At 50.2% G+C, this 21,178-nt stretch overlaps 1 protein-coding gene across 28 annotated transcripts in view, besides 1 other annotated feature; it reads left to right on the forward strand.

Annotated features, from left to right (window-relative positions):
* The window catches only part of PTPRA (protein tyrosine phosphatase receptor type A), a 174,486-nt gene extending 155,039 nt beyond the window's left edge, over positions 1-19,447 (forward strand). For 18 of the 28 annotated variants that reach the window (NM_002836.4, NM_001388321.1, NM_001385306.1 and 15 more), the window contains 11 exons: positions 2,087-2,206; positions 2,832-2,998; positions 3,467-3,602; positions 5,250-5,399; positions 7,465-7,558; positions 7,899-7,975; positions 8,485-8,619; positions 16,363-16,488; positions 16,568-16,719; positions 17,932-18,067; positions 18,837-19,447. In NM_002836.4, coding sequence (NP_002827.1) covers positions 2,087-2,206; positions 2,832-2,998; positions 3,467-3,602; positions 5,250-5,399; positions 7,465-7,558; positions 7,899-7,975; positions 8,485-8,619; positions 16,363-16,488; positions 16,568-16,719; positions 17,932-18,067; positions 18,837-18,911 — 1,368 coding nt within the window. In that variant the 3' untranslated portion in view covers positions 18,912-19,447. Of the gene's footprint in view, positions 1-2,086; positions 2,207-2,831; positions 2,999-3,466; positions 3,603-5,249; positions 5,400-7,464; positions 7,559-7,898; positions 7,976-8,484; positions 8,620-15,678; positions 15,865-16,362; positions 16,489-16,567; positions 16,720-17,931; positions 18,068-18,836 lie in introns of all 28 variants that reach the window. The other 10 variants (NM_001385320.1, NM_001385319.1, NM_001385321.1 and 7 more) reach the window with 5 other exon arrangements.
* Positions 7,667-8,866: an enhancer, noted in NCBI's record as "BRD4-independent group 4 enhancer chr20:3007535-3008734 (GRCh37/hg19 assembly coordinates)". NCBI's record gives its function as "activates an origin of replication core promoter dependent on BRD2, P300/CBP, MED14 and CDK7 cofactors, and independent of BRD4, by STARR-seq in HCT116 cells {active_cell/tissue: HCT116}" and the evidence as "EXISTENCE:reporter gene assay evidence [ECO:0000049][PMID:35650434]".
* Positions 19,448-21,178: the final 1,731 nt, after the last annotated feature.

Consider the following 21,178-nt stretch of genomic DNA (forward strand, 5'->3'; position numbering starts at 1 on the left):
CCGGACGGGGCGGCTGGCCGGGCGGGGGGCTGACCCCCCCACCTCCCTCCCGGACGAGGTGGCTGCCGGGCAGAGACGCTCCTCACTTCCCAGACGGGGTGGCTGCTGGGCGGAGGGGCTCCTCACTTCTCAGACCGGGCGGCTGCTGGGCGGAGGGGCTCCTCACTTCTCAGACGGGGCGGTTGCCAGGCAGAGGGTCTCCTCACTTCTCAGACGGGGCGGCCAGGCAGAGATGCTCCTCACATCCCGGACGGGGCGGCAGGGCAGAGGTGCTCCCCACATCTCAGACGATGGGCGGCCGGGCAGAGACGCTCCTCACTTCCTAGATGGGATGGCGGCCGGGCAGAGACTCTCCTCACTTTCCAGACTGGGCAGCCAGGCAGAGGGGCTCCTCACATCCCAGACGATGGGCGGCCGGGCAGAGACGCTCCTCACTTCCCAGACGGGGTGGCGGCTGGGCAGAGGCTGCAATCTCGGCGCTTTGGGAGGCCAAAGCAGGCTGCTGGGAGGTGGAGGTTGTAGCGAGCCAAGATCACGCCACTGCACTCCAGCCTGGGCACCATTGAGCACTGAGTGAACGAGACTCCGTCTGCAATCCCGGCACCTCGGGAGGCCGAGGCTGGCAGATCACTTGCGGTTAGGAGCTGGAGACCAGCCCGGCCAACACAGCGAAACCCCGTCTCCACCAAAAAAATACGAAAACCAGTCAGGCGTGGCGGCGCGCGCCTGCAATCGCAGGCACTCGGCAGGCTGAGGCAGGAGAATCAGGCAGGGAGGTTGCAGTGAGCCGAGATGGCAGCAGTACCGTCCAGCTTCGGCTCGGCATCGGAGGGAGACCGTGGAAAGAGAGGGAGAGGGAGACCGTGGGGAGAGGGAGAGGGAGAGCTGTTTTGTTTTGTTTTTTGAGACGGAGTCTCGCTCTGTCGCCCAGGCTGAAGGGCAGTGGTGCCATCTCGGCTCACTGCAAGCTCCGCCTCCCGGGTTCACACCATTCTTCTGCCTCAGCCTCCCGAGTACCACCCGCCACCACGCCCAGCTAATTTTTTGTGTTTTTTTTAGTAGAGACGGGGTTTCACTGTGTTAGGCAGGATGGTCTCGATCTCCTGACCTCGTGATCCACCCACCTCGGCCTCCCAAAGTGCTGGGATTATAGGCGTGAGCCACCACGCCCGGCCCACAGAGGAGCTTTTTTCCCCTGGTTTCTCTAGTTCCTTATTTCCCTGGTTTTCTGCCCCACCTGCTGAGGCCTTTGGTATATCCTGGATCAGCAGAGGGAGCTTTATGAACTGAGACCCTGCAAGCCAAAGGGAATTTGAGGCCTTGGCCTAATCCTGGAGGCAGCCTCCTAACTGGGCCTTTTCCTTTTGTGGCTACCAAGTGCATGCCTGGCCTAACCAGCTCTATCACTGGGCCACAGCCAGAGCCAATTCTGGGTCCTGGGGTCGAGCCCCAGCGAGGAATACCTATTTGTTACCGTGTTTCTCAAGGATGGCCCTTGAGTCACCTTGATCCTAGGGTATCGGGTGTCATGATCAACAGCTCCACAGTGGCATGGGAAGACAGTGCTAGGGCTGGGCTTTAGGTTAGTTTCCTCCAACCAAACCTCTTGCTCTTGGAAGCTATCCAAAGCTCAGGCAACAGAAAAAGCTCTAGGCCTCTCATGGCAGGTTTACAGTCTGCATCAGTCTACCCTGGTGGCCCCCTCATAGCAGACTGCTGGTTCGAGGGGTTCAAACAGGCTTTCTCCTAGAGCATGACCTGAAATGTTGTGAAAGTGCAGATTTTGTAGGTAAGATGGCTTCAGATTCGCCCTGAACCAAGGGAGTGTGGGTGGGAAACATTGAGAAGTATGGGGCTAGGGCTGTGTGTAAGTTAGGAGACTGTGCTCAATAGGATGGCGGCTAAGGAACTTGAGAAAAGGGCAAATTTGAATAAGTAAGTGTGCAACTGACTGAGATAGAGAAGAGGTCAAAGGGCCTTCTGGGGGACTTTAATCTGGGCTTTGTGGGCTCTTCCTTCCAGGCCCTTTGCATCTGCCATGGGCAGGAGGTCTAAGGTCAGGGAATGTATGTCTTTTTCTTTCCAGTGCAAGTGCGCCCAGTACTGGCCAGACCAAGGCTGCTGGACCTATGGGAATATTCGGGTGTCTGTAGAGGATGTGACTGTCCTGGTGGACTACACAGTACGGAAGTTCTGCATCCAGCAGGTAGTGTCTCCTCTGTCCTTTCTCAGTTCTTATGTTGGATCTGCTGACCAGTAAGAGGGAACAGGCTGGATCATCCCGCTGTGGTCAGGAGTTGCTGAGTATGCAGTATGTGAATTCTGAAACCAGATATCCGGGCTCAGGGGAACTTGTCTGTCAAAGCTAAAGGAGCAGTATTTTCATGACTGGTGAAAAATTACCTGTTGAGATGAAGTCTGATCATTTAGATATGACCAAGCACTGTGGAAAGGGAGCATGGGGAGGCAGTGCAGTCTCCTAGGTGCTTGACTCACCTTTCTCCTCCTTTCCTACTCCAAAGACTCCTGACATCAAGGATGTGATGGGCCTGCCCCTGGCCCTCCAGGCAACCCTGGAGACCTGAGCAAAGGTCACCTTCAGCCAAGGGGCAGTGTGGTACTGCGAAAAGAGGACTTAGCTGGGAGCACTGCATTTTAGTTCTGACCCTGCCACTGACTAGTTGTGAGACCTTGTGTCTGTGGTTAACTAACTCCCCTGGGTACACTTACTTTTCCATTGTCACTGACAACCACAGCTGTCACCTTCCCTCCCCTGGTACTGCCCACCCTTGGGTATCAGGGCCAACACACAGGATCTCCTCACTTCACAGGTGGGCGACATGACCAACAGAAAGCCACAGCGCCTCATCACTCAGTTCCACTTTACCAGCTGGCCAGACTTTGGGGTGCCTTTTACCCCGATCGGCATGCTCAAGTTCCTCAAGAAGGTGAAGGCCTGTAACCCTCAGTATGCAGGGGCCATCGTGGTCCACTGCAGGTCAGTGTGGCCTGACCCTTGTACCCCCACCCCCACATTTCGCCCCCATGGCCAGAGCAGGGGAACAGCACAAGGGCCCTGGCTGAGGAGGCTGGCACAGAGTAGATGACCTACTGGGGCACCAGCGCAACAGCCAGAGACTCCAAGTTCTAGTGCAGGGTGGAGAATATGACTTGAGGAAGGAGGGTAGGGCAGTCCTCCAAGATTAGGAGTTGGGAGACCCTGCTATGAAGCCAAAAGACTGGGTCAAGTGCTGGCCATGTATTTTTGCAGCCTTCGGACCCTTCTAGCTGGAGGTCAGGATTCAGGACATACTGGAGTTGTTGGCTCCTGGAGAGCCCCAGCTCTACCCCATTCAGAATTAGGATTTAGACCCTGAAGGAAGAGCCCCTGCCTGTGTTGCCCCTCCCTATCTGCTCCCACAAGGCAGGCTGGCCATCCCTATAACCCCCTGCTCTCTGGCTACAGTGCAGGTGTAGGGCGTACAGGTACCTTTGTCGTCATTGATGCCATGCTGGACATGATGCATACAGAACGGAAGGTGGACGTGTATGGCTTTGTGAGCCGGATCCGGGCACAGCGCTGCCAGATGGTGCAAACCGATGTGAGTGATCTGTGGGTCAGGTGAGGGTGGGGGGTTCCAGGACTAAAACATCTGCCCACATTGAGGATTCACTCAGTCTCACAGGTTATTGTAAATGATTACTATAGAGTGTGATTGTGGGGGAAAGAAAGATAGATCACACTGTTACCGTGTCTATGTAGAAAAAGGAAGACACGAGAAACTCCATTTTGTTCTGTACTAAGAAAAATTCTTCTGCCTTGAGATGCTGTTAATCTGTAACCCTAGCCCCAACCCTGTGCTCGCAGAAACATGTGCTGTATTGACTCAAGGTTTAATGGATTTAGGGCTGTGCAGGATGTGCTTTGTTAAAAATGTGTTTGCAGGCAGTATGCTTGGTAAAAGTCATCGCCGTTCTCCAGTCTCAAGCACCCAGGGACACAATGCACTGCGGAAGGCCGCAGGGACCTCTGCCCAAGAAAGCCTGGGTGTTGTCCAAAGTTTCTCCCCACTGAGATAGCCTGAGATATGCCCTCGTGGGAAGGGAAGGGTCTGTGCTGAGGAGGATTAGTGAAAGAGGAAGGCTTCTTTGGAGTTAAGATAAGAGGAAGGCATCTGTCTCCTGCTCGTCCCTGGGAATGGAATGTCTTGGTGTAAAACCCGATCGTACATTCTATTTACTGAGATAGGAGAAAACCGCCTTATGGCTGGAGGTGAGATATGCTGGCGGCAATACTGCTCTTTACTGCACTGAGATGTTTGTGTAAAGTCAGACATAAATCTGGCCTACGTGCACATCAAGGCACAGCACCTTTCCTTAAACTTATTTATGACACAGAGTCCTTTGCTCACATGTTTTTCTGCTGACCCTCTGCCCACCATTACCCTATAGTCCTGCCACATCCCCTTAGCCGAGATAGTAGAGATAGTGATCAATAAATACTGAGGGAACTCAGAGACGAGTGCTGGCGCATGTCCTCCGTATGCTGAGCACCGGTCCCCTGGCCCACTGTTCTTTCTCTATACTTTGTCTCTGTGTCTTCTTTCTTTCCTCAGTCTCTCGTCCCACCTGACGAGAAACATCCACAGGTGTGGAGGGGCTAGCCCCTTTCATGTGATGAAGGGCTCTTATAAATTATGTATTCAAAGAAATCGAGCACAGAGGAGGTTGTGGTTTCATGCCTGGGAGAGTCAGGAAGGCAGATGACAGGTTACTGGACTTCAAAGATTAGGGAACAGGCAGCTGAAAGAGCCAGTGCCCAGAGACATGATGAAGCTCGGCCACATCTGGGAGCAGCAGTGAGATTGGCTCTGCAGTTGGGGCATAGCACCAGGAGGGAGGCAGGGACCAGACTATCACGGGCTTTGGGTGTCTCCAGTTTCTGACAGCCCCTTCAGACTATTAAATCTGCACTCTCAGAATGAACAGGAATTGAGTTTGTCCTTCTCTCCAGGCGTCCACCACCCCCAAGATAGACCTGGACCCTTCTTCCCAAGTAAAGCACCCCCACAGGGACTCCTGCATTTCAAGTCCCACTTCACTAAATTGGGATAATAAGAGGGAGTCCTTTTATTCCTGCTAGGATCAAAGGAGAAATGGACTGGAGTGAAGTGGGGGTGGGAACAGGTGATCTGGCATGAGAACTATGTTGTATGTAACCAAGAACTTCTGTGTCATTCATGTTTCAGATGCAGTATGTCTTCATATACCAAGCCCTTCTGGAGCATTATCTCTATGGAGATACAGAACTGGAAGTGACCTCTCTAGAAACCCACCTGCAGAAAATTTACAACAAAATCCCAGGGACCAGCAACAATGGATTAGAGGAGGAGTTTAAGGTGAGTTGGAGCTGGATAACCTCCTTCAGATTGAAGGATCCTTGTAATCTGGGGAACATGGGATGCCTGACTGTGCATTTGCCAACAGTAAATCCCCTTGTGAGGCATGCCAGTGGTTAAGGAGATGGTCCTTTCCTCGTACTCTGGTAACTCTCAACTCATCCTGCACGTTGGAATCACTTTGGTTGTGTTAGAGTAGGGAGAAGCAGGCAACAGTATTTTAAGGCCCCTAGCCCTCCGAGGTGATTATGATACACAGCAAGAGCAGTTTTTTCTGTAAGAGCCAGATAATAAATATTTTAGGCTTTGCAGCCCACATGGTTTCTATCCAGCTACTTAGTGCTGTCTTTGTAACACAAAGGCAGCCATAACCAATAGGTAAATATAATGAGTGTGGCTGTTTTATAAAACTTTATTTGCAGGCAGCAGGCAGCAGGCCAGATTTGGCCTCTGGACCTTAGATCACTGATAGCTCCTATATGCCACTAGACAATGGTTCTCAACACACCTAAGGCATATGTCACACTGTCATCAGTAAAAGTGCTCTCCCAGGCTGGGCACAGTGGCTCACGCCTGTAATCACAGCACTTTGGGAGGCTGAGACAGGTGGATCATGAGGTCAGGAGTTCCAGACCAGCCTGGCCAATATGGTGAAACCCCGTCTCTACTAAAAATACAAAAAGTAGCCAGGCATGATGGCACATGCCTGTAGTCCCAGCTACTCAGGAGGCTGAGGCGAGAGAATTGCTTGAACCCGGAAGGCAGAGGTTGCAGTGAGCCGAAATCATGCCACTGCACTCCAGCCTGGGCGACAGAGCGAGACTCCATCTCAAAAAAAAAAAAAAAAAAAGTGCTTTCTCAGAAGCAGGAGATTCTGGGTTGGGGTGGGGAGGACCACTTAGAGAAGTTCTTCTCAAATATAGCATGTGCACAGATTTCTTTGGGATCCTGTCAAGATGTGGGTTCTGCCAGGCACGGTGGCTAATGCCTGTAATCCCAGCACTTTGGGAGGCCAAGTCAGGCAGATCACCTGAGCTCAGGAGTTCAAGACCAGCCTGACCAACACGGAGAAACTCTGTCTCTATTAAAAATACAAAATTAGCCAGGCATGGTGGCACATGCCTGTAATCCCAGCTACTTGGGAGGCTGAGGCAGGAGAATCACTTGAACCCAGGAGGCAGAGATTGCAGTGAGCTGAGATTGTGCCACTGCACTCCAGCCTGGGTGACAGAGCAAGACTCTGTCTCAAAAAAAAAAAAAAAAAAGATATTAGGTTCTGATTCAGCAGGTATGAGTTAGAGCTTGAGATTCTGCATTTCTTTTTTTCTTTTCTTTTTTTTTGAGATGGAGTTTCACTCTTGTCACCCGGGCTGGGGTGCAATGGCGCGATCTCAGCTCACTGCAACCTCTGCCTCCCGGGTTCAAGGGATTCTTCTGTCTCAGCCTCCTAAGTAGCTGGGTCTACAGGCACGTGCCACTACCCCCGGCTAATTTTTAGTAGAGACAGGGTTTCACCATGTTGGCCATGCGGGTCTCAAACTCCTAACCTCAGTTGATTGCCCACCTTGGCCTCCCAAAGTGCTGGGATTACAGGCATGAGCCACCACGCCCGGCTTGAGATTCTGCATTTCTAATAAGGTGAAGCCAACGCTGCTGGTGTATGGGCTACACTTTGAGTAGCAAATGTCAAGAAGGAGCCTCAATCGGGAAGGGAGGATGCAATTCTGAATAAGTTTTTTTGAAGAGCCTTAGGCAGCCTCTGGGGGTGGAACTGCAGAGTGGACACACTCCCTCCTACGATGCTGGAATCCCTTGCTCCAGGATCACAAAATTCCAAGCCAGGAGAATCTCAAGAGAGTCCACAGGAGCCTGGAAGGTAGCATTTCCCAAACAGTCTCTTGGCTTCAGGGTTCCAGCTGAACATATGGGAACAGAGGTCAGGGCCCTGGTGAGAAGAGCAGTATGGAGCCAGAGTGGCCTGGAGGTGCAGGCCAAGGGACAGGCATAATCTTGTCAAGTTCAGTTACTGGGATCAGTAATGTTTCCCCTCCCCTTCCCAATTCAGAAGTTAACATCAATCAAAATCCAGAATGACAAGATGCGGACTGGAAACCTTCCAGCCAACATGAAGAAGAACCGTGTTTTACAGATCATTCCATGTAAGAGCCCTCCCGCCACTCCAAAGCCTTATTGCCCCATCCCTCAATTCCCTCCACCCCTTCCATTTCTCAGGTACTAGTTAATGATTGGCGTATAGACAAGAATCATGGCATTGCCTCTTGTTGCACCCACTTAACAACATGGCGTTGCCTTTTGTTGCACCTTAGTGGCTTCTGGAAATAACGTAAAAGCCAAAGGCTTTCTCCCTAATGAGCTAGGAACAGACATGTCCTTGCCCAGCTGGGATTCTGTCTGCCCAGGGCCTGAGGTGGGAGCAATGCAAGGAGAGGGAGAGGACAAATGATATTGGCTAGCCATAAGCCGCTATTCTTCTTACAGATGAATTCAACAGAGTGATCATTCCAGTTAAGCGGGGCGAAGAGAATACAGACTATGTGAACGCATCCTTTATTGATGTAAGTGGTGGGTGTGACCCCTGAGCCCCCAACACCCCGTGGAGATTCAGCCAGCACTTGCAGTGCCTCCCTCCCATACCTGCTGGGGAGGATCATGTTTGAATCAGTCAACAAATAGTGAATTGATACTCACCCACCCACTCACCCTGTGCATTAGGTCTGTCCAGCTCCATAGAGCAGAAGGTGGGGGAAAACAGATGGCATGCAGTAGTATAATACCTGGAAGAAAAAGTTCACAGAGCAGACCACAGCCAAGAGGAACCTGGCTGCCCCCTGATCTTTCCCATTCCTGCCCTCTTCATCCTAGCTCTAATCCCTGTTCCACTTCCCTGTCTCTTACAGAAAGCAACCAGCTTGTCAGATAGGGTTTCGTCCTTGGCCACAGGGGAGCTCTGCATGGGCTGAGTTTGCCTCCGAGCAGTCCCCATTCCCTTCTAGTGGTCTGTCTTCTCCACTAGTCCCTCTGTGATTAAACCATCTCACCCTTGCAATTAACCTGGCCTGTGCAGGGCTACCGGCAGAAGGACTCCTATATCGCCAGCCAGGGCCCTCTTCTCCACACAATTGAGGACTTCTGGCGAATGATCTGGGAGTGGAAATCCTGCTCTATCGTGATGCTAACAGAACTGGAGGAGAGAGGCCAGGTGAGTTCAAAAGGTCCTGGGTGGTGAGAGACAGAGACAGCATGAAAAGATGTGTGTGTAAATGGGGACGTTGGGAAGGCAAGAAGGTGTTTGGACCTTGTCTTTGACTTATACGGTCCAAAGAGTACGTTTGCATAGTATAAGTACATACTTAAAGGTATATAAATACATATGCATTTCCAGGATTGCCCAGCCCGTTGGTGTCTAAGCAGTCATTAGCTTCTCCCAAGACTAGAAAAGCAATGTGATCTGAGCCTCCATGTTATTCCCAGACAGCTCACACCCTTGCACTTTCTCCTGAATACAGTCCCCCTAGCCTAGCCTTTGCACAGTGCCCCAGGCGGGGGGGGCACCCTCTCCTTCCCAGTGCCCCAGGCAGGGCAGATAGGTCAAGGTTCTGAGGTGGACCCAATATGAGTGTCCCTAAGAAGGGATTGCCTCATTGCTGACTACATAAAATAAAGCAGTAGAATTTGAGAAATTATACAAACAAGAAACTTACAGTCTAATATTCAGTAATAAGGAAATCTTTTAAAGAAAAAAGCCCTCAGGTCTATTAAAAAGCAGAGCTGTCCGGAAACTCATACTAAAAAGGGACACTAGCAGTCCCCTAGGTCAACTTCCTCTCAGTATAGGAAACCTCCTAATATTGTTCCTGAGTCAGAATCATACAGCCTCTACTAAGCACATTCAATCTCAGGGATATCTCCCTCACCCCCCACATTATGGGGGGACCCAGTCTGTGTTCTGACAATGCTTATTCTTTTAAAAATTATTTCTGTTGAGGTTGCACATTGCAGCAAATGAGCGGTTCACTATGTCTGGGGTGTCACTTAGCAGGGATGAGAATCTAGAGAATGGGCCTGGAGAGAAGCTAGCAAGGCCTGGTGAGAAAATTCCTTCTAAGCCACAGTGAAGAGTTTGGTCTTCCTAAAGCAATTGAAGAGCCCTTGACAACATCCCATTTGTGTTTTTTAAAAAATCCCTCTGGCAGCAGTGAGAAGGACTCATTAGAAATGCGAAAGCTGTGGCAGTAATGCTGGTGGCCTGGACTCGGGTGGTGAGAGGGTGCTGTCCCAGAAAGGGTGAAGTGAGGAGGAATTAAGGATGGCACCCACTCATGACTCATTGAATTTATAGTCAAACATTTAAAATACAAAGTATGTTTTACATTAGTTGTCTCAAGTCACTAGTTGTTCCCCATCTGTACTTGTGTTAACTTTGGTACAAGGCTTTACACATATTTTCTCACCCTGATGTTTCATTACATCAGGATTTTTTTTTTTTTTTTGGTTTTGTTTGTTTGTTTGTTTGTTTGAGAGAGGGTCTCACTTTGTCACCCAGGCTGGAGTGCAGTGGCACGATCTTGGCTCACTGCAGCCTCAACCTCCCAGGTTCAAGTGATCCTCCCACATAGCCCTCCAAGTAGCTAGGACTAAAGGCACGTGCCACCATGCCCAGCTAGTTTTTGTATTTTTTTGTAGAGACAGGGTTTCACCATGTTGCCCAGGCTGGTCTTGAACTCCTGGGCTCAATTGATCCACCCACCTGGTTGACCCAAAGTGCTAGGATTACAGGTTTGAACCACCTTGCCCGGCATTTTTTTCAATTTTGATCAGTCATTTAACTCATTAGCTATTCTTCCTAGACTTGTATCATGTACCTAATCAACAGACATACTTTGTAGGTCTTCATCATCTTTTTTTTTTTTTTTTTTGAGACGGAGTCTCTGTCACCCAGGCTGGAGTGCAGTGGCACAATATGGGCTCATTGCAACCTCTGCCTCCCAGGTTCTGGCAATTCTCCTGCCACAGCCTCCCTAGTAACTGGGATTAAAGACACCCACCATCATGCCTGGCTAATTTTTGTAGGCACGGGGTTTCACCATGTTGGCCAGGCTTGTCTCAAACTCCTGACCTCAGGTTATCTGCCTGACTCAGCCTCCCAAAGTGCTGGGATTACAGGCGTGAGCCACTGCGCCCAGTGTCTTCATCATCATTAATAACAATACTGATGAGGTGGGAGGTTCGGTTAAGGTGCTTGGCTTTGCACTCAAGGAAGCACACACCTGAGTAACAAAAGCTGTTTAGGAAATGAGCCACTGTGTTCTCAGGAGCTAGGTGCCTGTTCCTGCCGTCTCTGATCAGTCGTGATGGAACCTGCAGATCAGACCAGGGCCCTACCTGTGGTTCCTTCTGCACCCCTGCCCTTCAGATCTGTGATGGGCAGGACCAAAGAGCAGGCCGAAGAGCTGGAACCACGAGCACAAGGACCATCTCGGCCCACTGCCCTGTGATAAAATGTGGCCCAGTGAACATCTCCGCCTCTGTCCAGTCAGATGCAGGCTCTTCCATCCTTGAAAAGGACCTAGTGAGAGTAAAGGGCAGGGGGCAGGAAGCATTTCATGTGTGTGGCGGTGGGGAGAAGAGTCGTGCGCACACAAATTCTGCTGCCTGTTGAGTGAGGCCTCTCCCTCTGCCTTCCACTGTAGCTTATGCTCTGTCTTCCTAGGCCAGTGAAGCAGACAGTAGTGCTTGCCCTCAAAAGCTTCTGAGTGGATTGGAACAGGATGTTAGTGATGTTCTTTACAAGGCCTCACTGGCCCCCAAGTTCACTTTCTGTTCCATTCATGTTGTCAAGTGTAGCTCCCAGAAGTAATTAACGCACTAAGCCTAAATGATGCAATGAAAGGTGCCTACACTTATACAGTGACACTACCATCCTCACCTACAATATTAAGTTCCCAGAGAAAAAAATTCGATCCCATAATATAAATTCTGTACTTACAAATTAAAATCTCGAAGGAATTAAAAATTTTTAATTATCTCCCTCTGCTTTTTTTTTTTTTTTTTTTTTTTTTTTGAGATGGAGTCTCACTCTGTCCACCAGACTGGAGTGCAGTGGCACAATCTCAGCTCGCTGCAACCTCCACCTCCAGGGTTCAAGTGATTCTCCCACCTCAGCCTCCCGAGTAGCTGGGATTACAGGCATGCACTACCATGCCCAGCTAATTTCCATAGTAGAGACAGGGTTTCGTCATGTTGGCCATGCTGGTCTCAAACTCCTGACCCCAAGTGATCCGCCCGCCTTAGCCTCCCAGAGTGCTAAGATTACAGGCATGAGCCATTGCGCCTGGCCTCCTTCTGCTCTATTTTAATCAAAAGGGTCCACCAGGATGCCTGGGTTCCCTCAGCAGCTGCAGCTTGGACCATCATCAGCCTGGGCAGACAGAGCAGTGCCAGGAACTCCCATGCTGGGTCAACCCTAGGCCTAGCCCAACCCTAGGCCTCATCCTGCTTCTCTAAAGCATAGTGAAACCTGATAGCATTAGTCTTCACAAAGCTGTGTGTCCCCATCACCATGTCCGCCTTAGACCTCATAAGAGACATAAGACATAAGAGACTTCATGCTATCTGGTGGAAAGACAAAGTAGGAGAAAAGACAGAAAACCTTCCCTGTTTCACTTCTTTAAGATGCTATTATCTAGAGGCCGTAACGTGAACACACAAATCTGAGATGAAACTCCAGTCCCCAGCTTTTCTTCTACTGGTCTTGAATCCCCATTCCCCATCTTCTGTCCCTCACCCACTGATGACTTTAACACCTGGCTTACTGCTCCTTTTGAGCCCCTGTTCCTGACTCTGCTTTTGGAGGCATCAGTCACCATGTGGATGATCCATCTATCCTCAATCTTTCTATTCCTCAGCTTCCTCAGCCACCTGATCCCATGGTCAAGTCACCATCTGCCCTGTATCTGCACTGCCCTTGGAATCTCAACAAGGCATCCGCCCTGTTTACTGCCTCCTTCCTCCCACCTCAGTATTCTCTTTTATTCCAGTCATTTTTGTCTTCATCAAGTCCTTAGAGTTATTGATGCCTCCACTTTCTCAACATCAGTCACACCGAACATGTCCTCACCTTCCTCCTTACTCTGTGTGTTTTTGAGTTCTGTTTTTGAGCGTTTGAGTTTTCTGATTTGAGTTTTTGTGGTATGTCATTATTACCTTTCCTTATTCCCTCATGCTTTCTTACTTTCATAGCAAACTCTCTAGTAAAACCCAGTTATATGCCTCTATCTGATATAGCAAACATCACTGGGCAAAAACACAAAACAGTGCCAAATGCTCTCACACTGAACTCATGACCACAAATCTCATAGAGGTAATTGGTGCCACCTAGCAATGCTATTGCTCTTTCTTTTCTTCCTGAAACCTCCAGCATCTGCTCTTGCCTGTCCCATCATACTCACACCTTAGCTTGTGACCTGGCCTCATTCTTCTCCAAGAAATCAGACAAGAACACTGTCATCCTCCCACCCCCAAACAACCAGCCTCTTCAAATCTGTACCAACTCTATTCTCTCTTGTTACAGTGGAAAAGGGTTTCTGCATCTCTCAATCCACCTGTCCACTGTGCTCTTGGCCCCATTCCGTCCTGCCTGCTCAGGGATGTTGCTGCTATAACCATCTTCTCTCCCACCTCCATCAGCAGTTCCCCTCTTTAACCACTACTCTCATCAGCCTATACATGTTACATTTCCTATCTTTTAAAAACAAAAAATCTGCTAATCTCACTTTCCCTTCCACCTACTATCCTATTTCTCTGCACCCCTTCCCAGCAAAACTCCTTTAAAGAGTTGGCTTTCGGCCGGGCGCGGTGGCTCACGCCTGTAATCCCAGCACTTTGGGAGGCCAAGGTGGGCGGATCACAAAGTCAGGAGATCGAGACCAGCCTGGCCAACATGGCAAAACCCCATCTCTACTAAAAATACAAAAATTAGCTGGGCGCGATGGTGCATGCCTGTGATCCCAGCTACTCGGGAGGCTGAGGCAGGAGAATCGTTTGAACCAGGGAGCTGAAGGTTGCAATGAGCCAAGATCGCGCCACTGCATTCCAGCCTGGTGGCAGAGTGAGACTCCATCTCAAAAAAAAAAAAAAAAGAGTTGGCTTTCTCCCTGCAAGTTCTCTGTTCGCTCTGTTCCTTCCAGGCTTGGCCCCACTGGGACTGCTTTAGTCAAGATCACCAGTGACTGTCCTCTTGCCAAATCCAAAGGTCATTTCTCTTTTCTGATTTTTTTTTTTTTGTCCTTACAGCAGCATTTGAAAGAGTCAGTACCTCCCTCCTCTTCCTCAGAACACTTACTTCCGTAGCATCACCCCACTCACTAACCTGGCAGCTCCTTTGTTATTTCTTTGTGACCTCCTCCTCTAAAACATTGGAGTATACTAGACTCGGGCGCTAGCCCACTCTGTTTTCTTTTGACACACTAGCCCTTCAGGATCTCAGCCAGTCCTATGGCTTTAAGTACAACCCATATGCCAGGGATCCTCAATCTGCGTCTCTAGGCCAGTCACCTGTCCCCCTTCCCAATGTGGGCTCCTGATTTCCTCCTTCCCCCGACACCAGTCCACCCCACTCTTAGCCATCTAAATAAATAGTACCACCTTCTGCCCAGTTGCTCATGTCTAAAATCCGGGAGTTACCTTCCTTCCTCCCCTCTCCTCACCCCTCACATCCAGTCTGCCACTGAGTCCTGATACAGGCAGAGCCTCCCCACTTTTCTCCAGCGTAACTGCTGTCATCTGAACAAGCCCTCGTCTCTCACTGCTTGCCCGTGGGACTGTGGGCATGACTCATATGCGCAGCCTCGTCTGCAGTGGCCTGGCAACTGGTCCTCCTGCTCTCATCCTAACCCACTTTTAGTTTTTCAAATGGCAGCTGCTGGTCCTTTTGAAAATATAAATCATTGTCACTCCTTGTCTTACAAATCCTGTTTGAGGCCAGGTGCGGCAGCTCACGCCTGTAATCCCAGCACTTTGGGAGGCCGAGGCGGGTGGATCACCTGAGGTCGGGAGTTCGAGACCAGCCTGACCAACATGGAGAAACCCCGTCTCTACTAAAAATACAAAATTAGCGGGCATGGTGATGCATGCCTGTAATCTCAGCTACTGGGGAGGCTGAGGCAGGAGAATCACTTGAACCCGGGAGCCGGAGGTTGCAGTGAGCCAAGATCGCGCCATTGCACTCCAGCGTGGGCAATAAGAGTGAAGCTCCATCTCAAAAAAAAAAAAAAAAAAAATCCTCTTTGGTCTTCCAGAGATCTTGAGAGAAAATCCGCCCATGTATACAAAATTTAGAGACTTTTGATCAGATGTGGTGGCTCACGCCTGTGTAATCCTACCACTTTGGGAGGCTGAGGCAGGTGGATCACCTGAGGTCAAGAGTTTGAGACCAGCCTGGCCGACATGGTGAAACCCTGTCTCTACTAAAAATACAAAAATTAGCTAGGCATGGTGGCGCACACTTGTAGTCCCAGCTACTTGGGAGTCTGGGGTGGGAGAATCACTTGAAACTGGGAGGCGGAGGCTGCAGTAAGTCAAGATCATGCCACTGCACTCCAGCCTGGGCGACAGAGCAAGACTCTCTCAAAAAAGAAAAAAAAAATGAGACTCTTAGTGTTGATACCTAGTCCCTAGACTTGATATGTATTTCTGTCTGAGAGATCATGCTCAATTCCTCCAGCACACACACACTGTGGCTCACACCCATGGGGACCTTATGGTTCTGATGGTTTTAAAGGCCCAGTCTTCATCCCAGCTGAGACACTGTGTAAAGCAGTGTTGAGAAGGCACTGTGGTAGCAAAATCCATTCCACCCACCAGTGCCATAAAAACTAATATAATGCCTGATCGAGGTGAGCCTTAATGAGAATTTTTTTTTTTTTTTGGCTGTTCTGGTTGAAGAGAGGCCCAGGGCACCGATCCCTGAGGCATCCCCAGGGCTTCTAGAGAACATGGGTGGAAAAGCACTAGTCCAGGGCATGTTCTTGATTCAACACTTTAATAATCATGATTTTATTTGGACTGTGAGACTATTCACAATTTCTTTTTCTACTTAATTTTTTTCCAAATCTTTCAATGACATTATATGTATGGTTGAGAATTTTTCAATTGCCAGTAGTGAAGAATCTCAGATCTTACCCCCAAATTCTCTAAAGAAATGGGCAGCATAACTGTGTGATGTTATATTTATGTATTTATGCCTTGGCTTGTTCTGCAGACATTGAACAAATTCATTTACCAGATACTGAGAGCCTACCATGTGCCAGGCATTGTGCAAGGTGTGGGGAATACAGAGATGAAAAGAGACGCAGCCACTCCCACAAGGAGCTGTAGAGGGAAGTGAGCCAGGTGCAAGCAAAGACAGACAGTAGACCACCTCCTGCTCACTAGCAAGGACAGAAAGGCGAGTGCTAGCAACTTGAAGGTACCTTGCAGATCAAAGAGATAAAGGTAAAAGGGAGAAAGGATACTGTGGCCTGGGCGGTGGTGAAGCCCATGGCTGTGTGGGAATGTGAATTGGTTCTGATTTTCTGAATTAGCAGTCTGGCGGATGTAAGCAGCATTAAATATGAAAACACCCCATGGGAGAAAAAGAAAGGAATTGGAACAAAGATTTTCACTCGTCCTCCTCTCCCTGCAGCCACCAAGTATTGGATACCCTGTGAGCCTGTAGTCAGAGTCCTTTACAGACCCCGGCAGTGTTTTAGATGGTCTCTGGTGAGGATCGGAGGTTAATTGGAATGATGTGATATAATGATCCTGCAAGTTTTCAATACCTTGGGGACGAAGCGTATCAGCGTAAGAGGTGGCTGTACTGAGAGGGGTCAGGCTGCTCGTGGGCAGTGCTGCTTCTACACATGTGGTACTCTGAGCTCCTCACCTCTCCAACCTGTCTCTCCAGGAGAAGTGTGCCCAGTACTGGCCATCTGATGGACTGGTGTCCTATGGAGATATTACAGTGGAACTGAAGAAGGAGGAGGAATGTGAGAGCTACACCGTCCGAGACCTCCTGGTCACCAACACCAGGGTAAGATGGGTCGTGGGTGGACTCTGCCCACAGGAAAAGCAGGGTTACCCCTGCCTCCCTGATCCCCTTTTTTCCAAAGGAGAATAAGAGCCGGCAGATCCGGCAGTTCCACTTCCATGGCTGGCCTGAAGTGGGCATCCCCAGTGACGGAAAGGGCATGATCAGCATCATCGCCGCCGTGCAGAAGCAGCAGCAGCAGTCAGGGAACCACCCCATCACCGTGCACTGCAGGTATGGCTCACCCTTGCCCTCAGCGGGAGAGAGAAAGCGAGGAGGGGCAGATAGGGGAAGCTGATGACCATGGGTCAGACTGAAGAAAGCCATACAAGAGCAAGATATTGGTGAGCACATAGTAGTTGAGATTGATGCCAAGACAGGATTGGATGCTAAGAGAGAGGACCTTGGAGCTTGAACTTGGCACAATAAGTGCTAGGGGACTAATGTTCAGATAGTGGGCAGGAGAGCAGCAGGGGAGACTGGCAGTGGAGACCCCGGTTGTGCTATGAACAGAGGGTGAAAGAGAAGAGGAGTCAAGGGTGTCTCCCAGGTTTGAGCCTGGGTTGGTGTGACCAGCAGAAGAGAGACAGTAAAGAGGTTTGTTTGAGGGGAAAAGTTGAATTTTGTATGGGGCATGTTGCTGGAGGTTACGTTTTAGAAAAAATGCACTCCTTTACTTAGAATCCTAACAACAGCTTACAAGGCCCAATATGTTCTGAGGGGTCCCTGGCCAGGGCCGGGAGAGGATGGTGTGCACCATGGGCTGGCTCTGAGCACACTCCTGCCATGGGCCTGAGATGCCAGTTTCCCAGGCAGCCACAGGGCTTTGCCCAAGCCTTCCCTGAGTACCCTGCCAGAACTCCCACTCCTCTTTTCTCTTTCCTTACCACACATCTTCTTGTCTGGGGACATTGCTAAACCCCACAGTCCCTGCCTCAGAGTAGGCACTCAGTGTCTGGTGAGTGAATCAGCTGATGACATTGAATAGGGGGATATTGTCAAGGTCAGAGTCTGGATTCCGTGGATTTGGGAAGAAAGTGAAAGACATGGAAAGGAATCAGCAGATACACACCAGTGTAGGGAGTGGGGTTTGTCAGAAAAAGGGAAAGACAGGACTAGAGCTAGTTCTAACTGAGCGAACAGCAGGTCAGAACAACCTAGGCCAGCATGTGCAGGTGGACAGCAATGGCTCTGTGCTGGTGGGGTGTGAGTGAAGGTCGTCCCCCACGGTCCAACAGGTGAGTCCCTCCACAGCACATGGGGCCATGCAGGAAGGGCACAGGGTACACTGCCTCCCGACCCAGAACCCCTCCAGGCTGGTGGGTCCACAGGGCAAAGGCGAGCACCAGCTGCCTGCCCCCACCTCTTCTGCCACTCACCACTGTCACTCACCCCCTTGCACAGAGGGCCATCACAGGTGTGGTAAATGTGTCTGCTCTGTTGCAGCGCCGGGGCAGGAAGGACGGGGACCTTCTGTGCCCTGAGCACCGTCCTGGAGCGTGTGAAAGCAGAGGGGATTTTGGATGTCTTCCAGACTGTCAAGAGCCTGCGGCTACAGAGGCCACACATGGTCCAGACACTGGTATGCTGCCCACATATTTGTCCCTGCCACCACACCACCTGCAGCCCTTCTCTCAGGGAGGAGGCTCTTCAGAGGGGCCCACCCAGTAGTCAGAAGACTGTCTAAACACAGACCTGCCCTTGCCCTCCCAAGGTGCCCCAAATACACAGGAAACATTGGGAGGCAGGATGGCAGCAATGGGAGCATAGCCCCTGTTGCCAGAGGTTGGGCCAGGTTAGAAGGGGTGTCTGGGTGCCCCACAGGGCTCATCTGTACTTCTCTGTGGGTCTTGGGTAAGGAAGATCCATGAAGAGTACCTGCCTTTGGGCTTGGGCTCCCTGTTAAGAGGTCTGACTTTAATAAGCCGCACATCCACAGAGGTTTTCCTGAATCCCATGGAGCTAGAAATGTTTGGGGGGTAAAGAAAAGTGAATGTTAGGAGGTTTGGGAGACGAGGTTCTGAGAGCCAGGGTGCATGCTAGCCTGGCAGCCATGGTAAGCGTGGGCCATGCTCAGCTGCACTGTCTCCCAGCCCAGCACATGCCTGTCTGACCTCTGTGGGGCCTGGGTCAGCTCTGGTCAGCTCTGCTTGTAGAAGGTCTGCTGCATTCAGCCCGGAAGGGGAATGCTGTCAGAACTCTGGCAGGCAGATCAGAGCTCAGGTGAAAGTTCAAAAACATTCAGTTCCTCTTGATTTTCCATCTTCAACAAAAAAATGAGTCTGTTAGGAATTACAGGTACTGTGTGTTCTTCAGTAACCCTGACTTTTTCCCTACCTTTCACTCTCCAGGAACAGTATGAGTTCTGCTACAAGGTGGTGCAGGAGTATATTGATGCATTCTCAGATTATGCCAACTTCAAGTAAGCGGCAACAAGGGTCCGTGGACCAGGAGGATTGCCTTTAATATTTTGTAATATTCTGTTTTGTTAATATACCCCAAATTGTGTATATATCTTATAACTGTTTTAGAAATTGGTACATAGGCTTCTATTACCTATTAGGTGGAAATTTTATATGTAAATGTGTTAGCACTGATAGTCCTTTTTCCAATGTTTTATTGGGGAATTAAATAGTGTGATGTTTGGATTGATATCGTGAAATCCTCAGCCGAGAAATTGGGCTGGATTGTGCTTTGGTTAATACATCTTTCCCTAAAGAAGATAAACACAAAATCCATTCCAGGTAGCTCGGCACCAACTAAGAAAAAAAGCACAAAGTTCTCAGAGCTCTCGAGGAAAGTGGTTGTCCCCGTACCACCATGCACTGTAAATATCCCTCCCCTCTCTCCCTGGTCCCCTCCCCCATCCCCACCACTGATATCATGGGGAGTAATAGGACCAGAGCGGTATCTCTGGCACCACACTAGGGACTATCAGGTAATAAAAGCTTTGACTCCCTGAGGAAATGTCTCTCCCTTTGTCTGGGGGTGGGGCAGCCATACAGGCTGGGGCTCTCCTCGGCTGTTCATGGCCCTCCTGTTGCTGTTCTCTCTGAGTTATCTGAGAGAGGCCACAGTCCCCCAGCTCCTCCTGTCCACCAAACACAGCCCTTCCAGTTCTTAGGTGATCTCCAGGACCCTCCTTTCATTCCCAGCACATCTTTGGTTTAGTGGTCCTGGCCAGCCTCCCTCCCTAGGAAGGTGGCCAGGTCCTCACTGAGTCTCCTTAAGGACAGGGGCACAGGGGAGACTAGAGCTGGCTCAGCTTTGGGCTGAGGCCAGTCTGACCTCTCCAGTCTGTGGTGCTTTGCTACAAAACTGTCTGGATTGTGTCACCCTATCTAGGATAAATCTTTATGTCCACATATATTGTGTTGAATTGTTCCCATTTTCTTTCATACGTGTCCTCATTTCTGGGACAGTGTGAATGTTTCTCAGATCTAGAAGTCAGATGGTGGGAGTCTTAGATCCGAACTTGGTTTTGAGTGACATGTTAGACAAAAGTGTTGAACTTTTGTTTCTTAAAGAAGCTGGATGTTCATTTATGTCTCCCGTAACAGTCTGTGCTGTCCAGAGACCCAGTATCCTTAGGATATTATTCTCATCCTCATGGTTGAAGCTGGGTCACTGCCATGTCCATAATCCACCCTGAGGAAAGAGCATGGAGAGCCAGCAGCTTCATTTCTAAGGACAGGAAGCCAAATCTGCACTTTTCACTTCCACTCATAATCCACCCCGCATTCCACTCATCAGCTTCACAAGTAGGTTTTCACCTGGTCATAGCTATGCCTAACTACAGGGAGTGCTGGGGAAGTGTGATCTTTTGTTGGGGGCACACTGGGAGAGTGGGTCTGTCCACTGCCTCCCAGCCTCAGAGCAGCTCACCACAGGAGCAGGAGAGTGAACTCGTGGCTGTGGCTGTCAGGCAGGGCCTTTCTTGAGAGCCAGCGCAGGCCTGGGCTCCTCAGAGGCTTCTGGAGTGAGAGATGGCACCTCAGCCTGGCCCATGGAGGCATGTTCAGGGATCAGCACTACTGTGCTTCTTGGAGGAGGTGGGACTTGAGCTGGACCCATGGGAGGCTGGAAATTTAGATGAGTGAAAAGGAGGAAAGGCGAAGTAGAGCCACATTACAGAGGGCCTCAGAGTCCAGATAAAGCAGTTAACATGTAGTGGCTCCAGGAGGGAAGCCTGTCTGTGCACCACATACCCAGGATGTTTGTGGGAAGGAAGGAGATGTGCGGAAGGGACCCAGGAGACCTGCAGGAGGCAAGGGCTGCAACAGACCCCCTCTGGAAGTTTACAGGAGGTGAGTGTGAGTCATTAGAGACATTCAGTTCTGTAGGAACTAACGAACTCCCAAGAGGCAGTAAACTTAAAACTCAGCAGTCTCGATAAGTATGGATAAATTAGGCAAAGACAGATTCTGAGGAATTTCTGGTGAGGGGTGCCAAGTTTGGGGAGCAGCCCCTGGCTCCTTGCAAGCTACCCTTCAGTGCTCTGTGTGACCAAGTCCAAGTCGATGCAGGAGGGCAGGCACTGGGTCAGCAAGCCACTCAGTGAATGTGCAGGTGAGGCCGTTCATAGGCGCTTGTGTGCCTCCCAGCAGGCTGCCTGCCATTGCCAGGGCTGGCCTTCAGCAGGGTGCGCCACCATGGCCTGAGTGGTTTTCTGCTGAAGTCCGTGCTGATTTGG

The sequence above is a fragment of the Homo sapiens genome, chromosome 20, assembly GCF_000001405.40.
Source record: "Homo sapiens chromosome 20, GRCh38.p14 Primary Assembly".
In the NCBI taxonomy this organism is placed as follows: Eukaryota; Metazoa; Chordata; class Mammalia; order Primates; family Hominidae; genus Homo; species Homo sapiens.